General features: G+C 53.5%; 2 annotated features.

The window, feature by feature from the left end:
* Positions 1698 to 2277: an enhancer, noted in NCBI's record as "H3K4me1 hESC enhancer chr19:30248109-30248688 (GRCh37/hg19 assembly coordinates)". NCBI's record gives its function as "activates a minimal SCP1, AML or CMV promoter by ChIP-STARR-seq in primed H9 embryonic stem cells {active_cell/tissue: H9 hESC(primed)}" and the evidence as "EXISTENCE:reporter gene assay evidence [ECO:0000049][PMID:30033119]".
* Positions 2278 to 2856: an enhancer, noted in NCBI's record as "H3K4me1 hESC enhancer chr19:30248689-30249267 (GRCh37/hg19 assembly coordinates)". NCBI's record gives its function as "activates a minimal SCP1, AML or CMV promoter by ChIP-STARR-seq in primed H9 embryonic stem cells {active_cell/tissue: H9 hESC(primed)}" and the evidence as "EXISTENCE:reporter gene assay evidence [ECO:0000049][PMID:30033119]".

Here is a 6641-nt window from a genome sequence, read left to right on the forward strand (position 1 = left end):
TAATAATTCTTAAAAATTAAAAATTAGGCTGGGTGCGGTGGCTCACACCTGTAATCCTAGTACTTTGGAAGGCTGAGGTGGGCGGATCACTTGAGGTCAGGAGTTCGAGACTAACCTGGCCAACATGGTGAAACCCCCCCATCTCTACTAAAAATACAAAAATTATCTGGGTGTAGTAGTGTGTGCCTGTAATCCCAGCTACTTGGGAGGCTGAGGCAGGAGAATCGCTTGAACCTGGGAGGCGGAGCTTGCAGTGAGCTGAGATCGCGACACCGCACTCCAGCCTGGGGGACAAGAGGAAAACTCTGTCTCAAAAAGGAAAAAAAATTAAAAATCAAATAAAGGATGCTGCTTGGGTTCTGGGGACAGAAACATGACAGGAGTGAATTCACAAGAAGAGGGCCCAATCCCTCCTGCTGCTGAGGACACATGGAGGGCCCACCCCATGTTCAGGATAGGCTGAGGTCCTACCAGAGGCACCGGGATGTGCTGAGCAGCTCCCGATGGTGGGGCTCCCTCTCTGAACACCTGGAAGGACATTCCTCACCTGGGTCCTGAACCTGGAACTGGCTTCAGGGGATTCAGAGACTCCATCAAGAAGGCCTGAAGGTGTGCACTCCACTCCATACTTCCTGCTCTCATCTCACCAGCAAGGCCCAGAACTCTGAGCGGGCCTCCCGGGCTGCTCAGCTATCAGTAAAGGAGTTAGTTCCCGGTGCCCATGTGCTCTGTACCCCACTGCATAGGGGAGAGGGCAGGCGCCAGGCATCCTTCCATCCTTGTCCTTGATGTCACTTTAACACCATGGGAACCTTGACATCCTTCACACATCCTTCTATAGACAGTGCTGGGGCTTCAGCTGTGTTTGGGGGAGCACAGAGAGGAGACAGGGTGTGTCTGTTTGTTTGTTTTTGAGACAGAGTCTCGCTCTGTCGCCCAGGCTGGAGTGCAGTGGCACGATCTCAGCTGGGATCTGCCTCCCAGGTTCTACCAATTCTCCCGCGTCAGCCTCTCAAGTAGCTGGGATTACAGGTGCCCACCACCACGCCCAGATTTTTGTATTTTCAGTAGAGATGGGGTTTCACCATGTTGGCCAGGCTAGTCTTGAACTCCTGACCTCAGGTGATCCACCCGCCTCGGCCTCCCAAAGTACTGGGATTACAGGCATGAGCCGCCATGCCTGGCCTACCAGATTTTAAAATAATGATTCTGACCAGGCACGGTGGCTTATGCTTGTAATCCCAGCACTTTGGAAGACCGAAGCGGGCAGATCACTTGAGGTCAAGAGTTTGAGACCAGCTTGGCCAAAATGGTGAAACCCCGTTTCTACTAAAAATACAAAAAATTAGCCAGGCGTAGTGATGTGCATCTGTAATCTCAGCTCTCAGGAGACTGAGGCAGGAGAATCACTTGAACCCAGGAGGTAGAGGTTGTGGTGAGCCGAGATCATGCCACTGCACTCCAGGACTGGGGTCGGAGCAAGACTCCGTCTCAAAAAAATGAATAAATAAAATAAAATAAAATAATGAATTTGAAATCCAAGGCAGGGGTGACCATATAATTGCTCATCCAAACCAGGACACTTCCAAGGGCGAAAGGGCAACAGGCATGAGCCAGAATGCTCCAGGGCAAACCATAATGCATGTTCATTCTGTCCCAAGGTGACTTGTGAGGGTTCCTTTTGGCTTAAGTGTCATTATAAAGTCACAGCTTTGAGCATATTTCCTTTGTTTCAGTTCGTTGTAGCCATTCTTCTTACTAATATTTAAATTGTGCCATCTTTGGCCTGTAGGAAAATCAACACTTTGAATCACCTATCCTCATCCTAAGACCGTGAAGTCACAGTCCTGATGCGCTACTCTTTTCTGAGTGCATGTGCGCACCTCTTGGAACTGTTAAAATAAGCAGCGTTCATCCTTGCCCTTCCAAAGTGTCCTGGGCACCGGTGGAGGCCATGCAGTGCCTGGGGGACGTGCTGAAGGAGCCAGGGGCATCAGTAAAGACAGGAGACCACTTAGAGATGGCCCAGGGGACTGCAAAGACCCCATGGGCAGTCAGGAAGGAGGAAGCCATTTACGCTGGTACCTGGCAGGCTGCTGGCGGGGGATGCACTTGTGCTGTGTTTGGAAGCTCTTTGAACTGATCAAAGCTGGGCCACACCACGAGGGAGCTGGATGCCCCCACGGGCTCCCTGGAGCTATGGGTATGCATGTAGACAGGGCAGCCATCCAGCAGCCTTCCTCAGGCCAGCCCCTCCCCACAAGGGAATGTGACAACCGCCCCCCCGCACAGCCTGGGCCCCCTTCGTGACCACCTGCTGGGTACCTGGCACCCCAGAATGCCCTGTTCTAATGGCCCTGGACGGTGTACCCCTAGGTCAGTGGTTCTGAAAGCAGGGGAGGCGATTTTGCACCCTGGAAGACATTTGGCAAGGTCTGGAGACATTTCTGGTTTTTACAGCAGGGGGTACAAGCTAAGGAGGCTGCTGAATAGCCTACGATGCACAGGATGGCCTCATAATAAACAGCGATGGGGCCCAAAATGTCAATGGGGCTGAGGTTGAAAAGCCCTGCCCTAGGCCCCAGGGGTGGCAGAGGGGCTGTGTGTGTGGGAGGTAGGGACAGAGCCTGGACACGCAGCCTGCGGTGTCCTCCCACATAAGGGGCAATTCTGGGTAGTGTGTGGAAGGCAAGTGGAGAGGCCAGGGCTGCTGTGTTCCACACTGGAACTCCCAGAGCCTGAGATTTCCAAAATTAAACCTGGCCTTCTAGGTCTTTTTGAAGTTATATTGGTTAGGGCAGGGGAAAAGAACATATTTTATTTAAGCATTTGTTGGCTTGATTTGTAACTGTTAGATACGTAGATATAGGTTATGTGGGCTGAGCGTGGTGGCTCACACCTGTAATCCTAGCACTTTGGGAGGCCGAGGCAGGAGAATTGCTTAAGCTCACAAGTTTGAGACCAGTTTGGGCAATACAGCAAAGCCCTGTCTCTACAAAAAATACAAAAATTAGCCGGGCATGATGGCACTCGTCTGTGGTCCCAGCTACTTGGGAGGCTGAGGCGGGAGAATCGCTTGAGCCTGGGAGGTGAAGGTTGCAGTGAGCTGAGATTATACCATTGCACTCCAGCCTGGGTGACAGAGTGAGACCCTGTGTCAAATTTTTTTAAAAAGGATATGTGGGTCAGGTGTGGTGGCTCATGCCTGTAATCCCAGCACTTTGGGAGGCTGAGACAGGCAGATCACTTGAGGTCAGGAGTTTGAGACCAGCCTGGCCAACATGGCAAAACCTTGTCTCTACTAATAATACAAAAATTAGCTGAGTGTGGTGGTGCACACCTGTAATCCCAGCTACTGCGGAGGCTGAGGCAGGAGAATCGCTTGAACCCAGGAGGCAGAGGTTGCAGTGAGCCGAGATGGCACCACTACACTCCAGCTTGGGCGACAGAGTGAGACTCTTTCAAAAAAAAAAAAAATGTGGCCTCTGCTTATCGCTTTGCCTCAGGTGGGGACCTAGGAAACACTCGTGCACAATCTGTGCTCAGACAGAGACCCAGGAGGGAGGCATGGAGGCTGCAAGGAGCCCATGAGTCCTGCAGGAAGGGGCCTGGCTGGGATGGTTGTTAGATTCCACCCAGGCATTCCCCACTCATGCAGATATCTGCAGAACCCCAGCTGTGTGCAGGCAACTGGCTGAGTGCCGGGGATGCTCACCCTCTAAGACAAGAGGACAAGAAACCACCAATGATGAAAGAGACAGTGGTGTGCTACGAGATCCCCAGGCTGGGGCTCAGGGCTCTGGGGCAAATACTCCATGGAGTTCCCGGCTGCCTTCTTCCTGGGTCCTTACCTTGGGTCATGTGGGTCTTCACACGTCCCCTCCCCCCGACCACCACACTTGTGCCTGCAGTTGAATTCTCCTTTTCAGAGCATCTGGGCACTGCCAGGACCACCCTAGGGAGGGGTGTCCACTGGAATCTGAGTCCAGAGCCACCATGCAGGGACCTCTGAGATCACCAATGCACCCATTTCACAGATTAGAAAACTGAGACATCTCAACTTGTACAAGGCCATGCAGGGAGGGATGGTAGGGTCTGGCTAGTGGGTTAACCAGCTCCCATGGCACTCTGCCACCTGCCAGATGCCCTTCCCACCGGGCTGCTCCCGGGACTTCGGTGGGGAGGGCTTTCACACATGTCAGCATTCTTGAATCCCAGAGGTCTCCTCCTGGTTCTGATGTACTGGACTAAAGAAGAGGCCAGGTGCAGCAGCTCACACTGTAATCTCAGCACTTTGGGAGGTCAAGGTAGGAGGATGGCTTGAGCCCAGGAGTTTGAGACCAGCTTGGTCAACATAGTGAAACCTCACCTCTCCAAAAAATAAAAAAAAAATTAGCCAGGTGTGGTGGTGCGTGCCTGCAGTTCCATCTACTCGGGAGGCTGAGCTTGAGCCCAGGAGGTCAAGGCTGCAGCGAGCTGAGATCAGGCCACTGCACCCACCCCAGCCTGGGCAACAGAGCGTGACCCTGTCTTAAAAAAACAAAAAAAGTTGCCATTGTGGTCCCCCTTTCTCCAGCCTGGCCTGTGCTGTGTGAGGGATGGCCCTAACCCTCAGAGGGAATGGAAACTTCGTTCCTCGGTGGGCAGCGCTGGTAACCATGAGTAAGAGGAGGAAGTGTCCGGGCCTGACAGGGTCCAGGGCCCAGCTCTCCTGCCCAAGGGCAAGACTGGCTGCGTGGCCGCCACTGGCCAGCAGAGGGCGCGGCCTGAGGCGCCCAAGGAGGGCAGCAGGAGGCAGGCGGCGGGGCTGTCCCGCTCCGAGAGCGGCGGGAAGCGCCAGCCAGGCCGGCCCTCCCTTCCCTCCGGACAGCCCGGAACCCCGCCACACACCTATGGCTGATGGGTGCTGTCACTTCTGTTTGCTATGCTTTCTGCCATCACTATTGTTATGTTAAACTCCCCTGACTAGGTCTCCACTTTCTGTCCCATTTTGCACATTTTGCATTTTGTTTTGTTTTGTTTTGTTTATTTGAGACGGAGTCTCGCTCTGTCGCCCAGGCTGGAGTGCAGTGGCGCGATCTGGGCTCCCTGCAACCTCCACCTGCCGGATTCAAGTGATCCTCCTGCCTCAGCCTCCCTAGTAGCTGGGATTACAGGTTACCCCTGCCCAGCTAATTTTTGTATTTTTGGTAGAGACGGGGTTTCCCTATGTTGGCCAAGCTGGTCTCGAACTCCTGGGTCCTTACCTTGGGTCACCTGGGTCTTCACACGCCCCCACCCCCCGACCACCACACTTGTGCCTGCAGTTGAATTCTCCTTTTCAGAGCACCTGGGCACTGCCAGGACCATCCTAGGAAGGGGTGTCCACTGGAATCTGAGTCCAGAGCCACCATGCAGGGACCTCTGAAATCACCAATGCACCCATTTCACAGATTAGGAAACTGAGACATCTTAACTTGTACAGCTAATTTTTGTATTTTTGGTAGAGACGGGGTTTCGCTATGTTGGCCAAGCTGGTCTCGAACTCCTGGCCTCACTTGATCTGGGCCCCGCCCCCCCTCCTCGGCCTCCCAAAGTGCTGGGATTACAGGTGTAAGCCACTTTGTAAAAATAAAAATTAGATCCCTCACACAGAGTCCAGGGAGGGAGAGTTCCGTGGGCTGGGAGCTGAGAGGTGGGGAGATGGGCTCTCTGCACCCACACTTCCCTGCTGTGTGGCCCCAGGCAGGTTACTTCATCTCTCTGTGCCTTGGTTTCACCTCCTCCTGTAAGATGCGGCACTGGGACTGCCTCTCAGGAGAGTCCCGCAGAGCAGTCTGGGGAGGTGCTTGGCATGGCTGCCGGCACCTGCTCACCGTCATCACACGGGGACTTAGTCTTAAGAAAAGGGGACTGGAGGTCGGGCACGGTGGCTCACACCTATAATCCCAGCACTTTGGGAGGCGGAGGCAGGTGGATCACCTGAGGTCAGGAGTTTGAGACCAACCTGGCCAACATGGTGAAACCTGTCTCTCCTAAAAATACAAAAATTAGCTGGGTGTGGTGGTGCATGCCTGTAATCCCAGCTACTCAGGAGGCTGAAGCTGTAGAATCGCTTGAACCCAGGAGGCAGAGGTTGCAATGAGCCGAGATCCAGCTACTGCACTTCAGGCTGGGCAACAGACCGAGACTCTATCTCAAGGAAAAAAAAAAAAAGAAAGAAAGAAAAGAAAGGAAAAAAGAAAAGGGGATTGGAAGCTTACAGCCGGAAGGGGAGGCACAGGCTGGGTGAAGTGGGCCAGGTGTCACCAGGAGACAGGGCAAGGGCTTCAGAGCGGGAGATGGGGCTGCGCTTCAGAACCCTGGGCTCTCTTGGGCAGTGGGGGCCTCACACCACAATCCCCAGCACTGGCCCCAAACAGGCGGCTTCTATTTCTTTCTGCTTTTTTAGAGAAGGAAAACTCATCCTGCTTCAGTATGCAGCAGCCAATAAAAACACGTTAATCTTTAACGTGTTAGCAAAACAGCCTCCAATTTGAATATCGGCTCTTCCTCCCATCTGTGGCAGTTTGCACAGATTTTTTTTTAGAGTGGCAGAATGCCTCATCTATGCACCAGCCGGTGGCAGGCGCCATTCACTGCCACAGAGCCTCCCCCAGGGC

This window comes from Homo sapiens, chromosome 19, assembly GCF_000001405.40.
Source record: "Homo sapiens chromosome 19, GRCh38.p14 Primary Assembly".
In the NCBI taxonomy this organism is placed as follows: domain Eukaryota; kingdom Metazoa; phylum Chordata; class Mammalia; order Primates; family Hominidae; genus Homo; species Homo sapiens.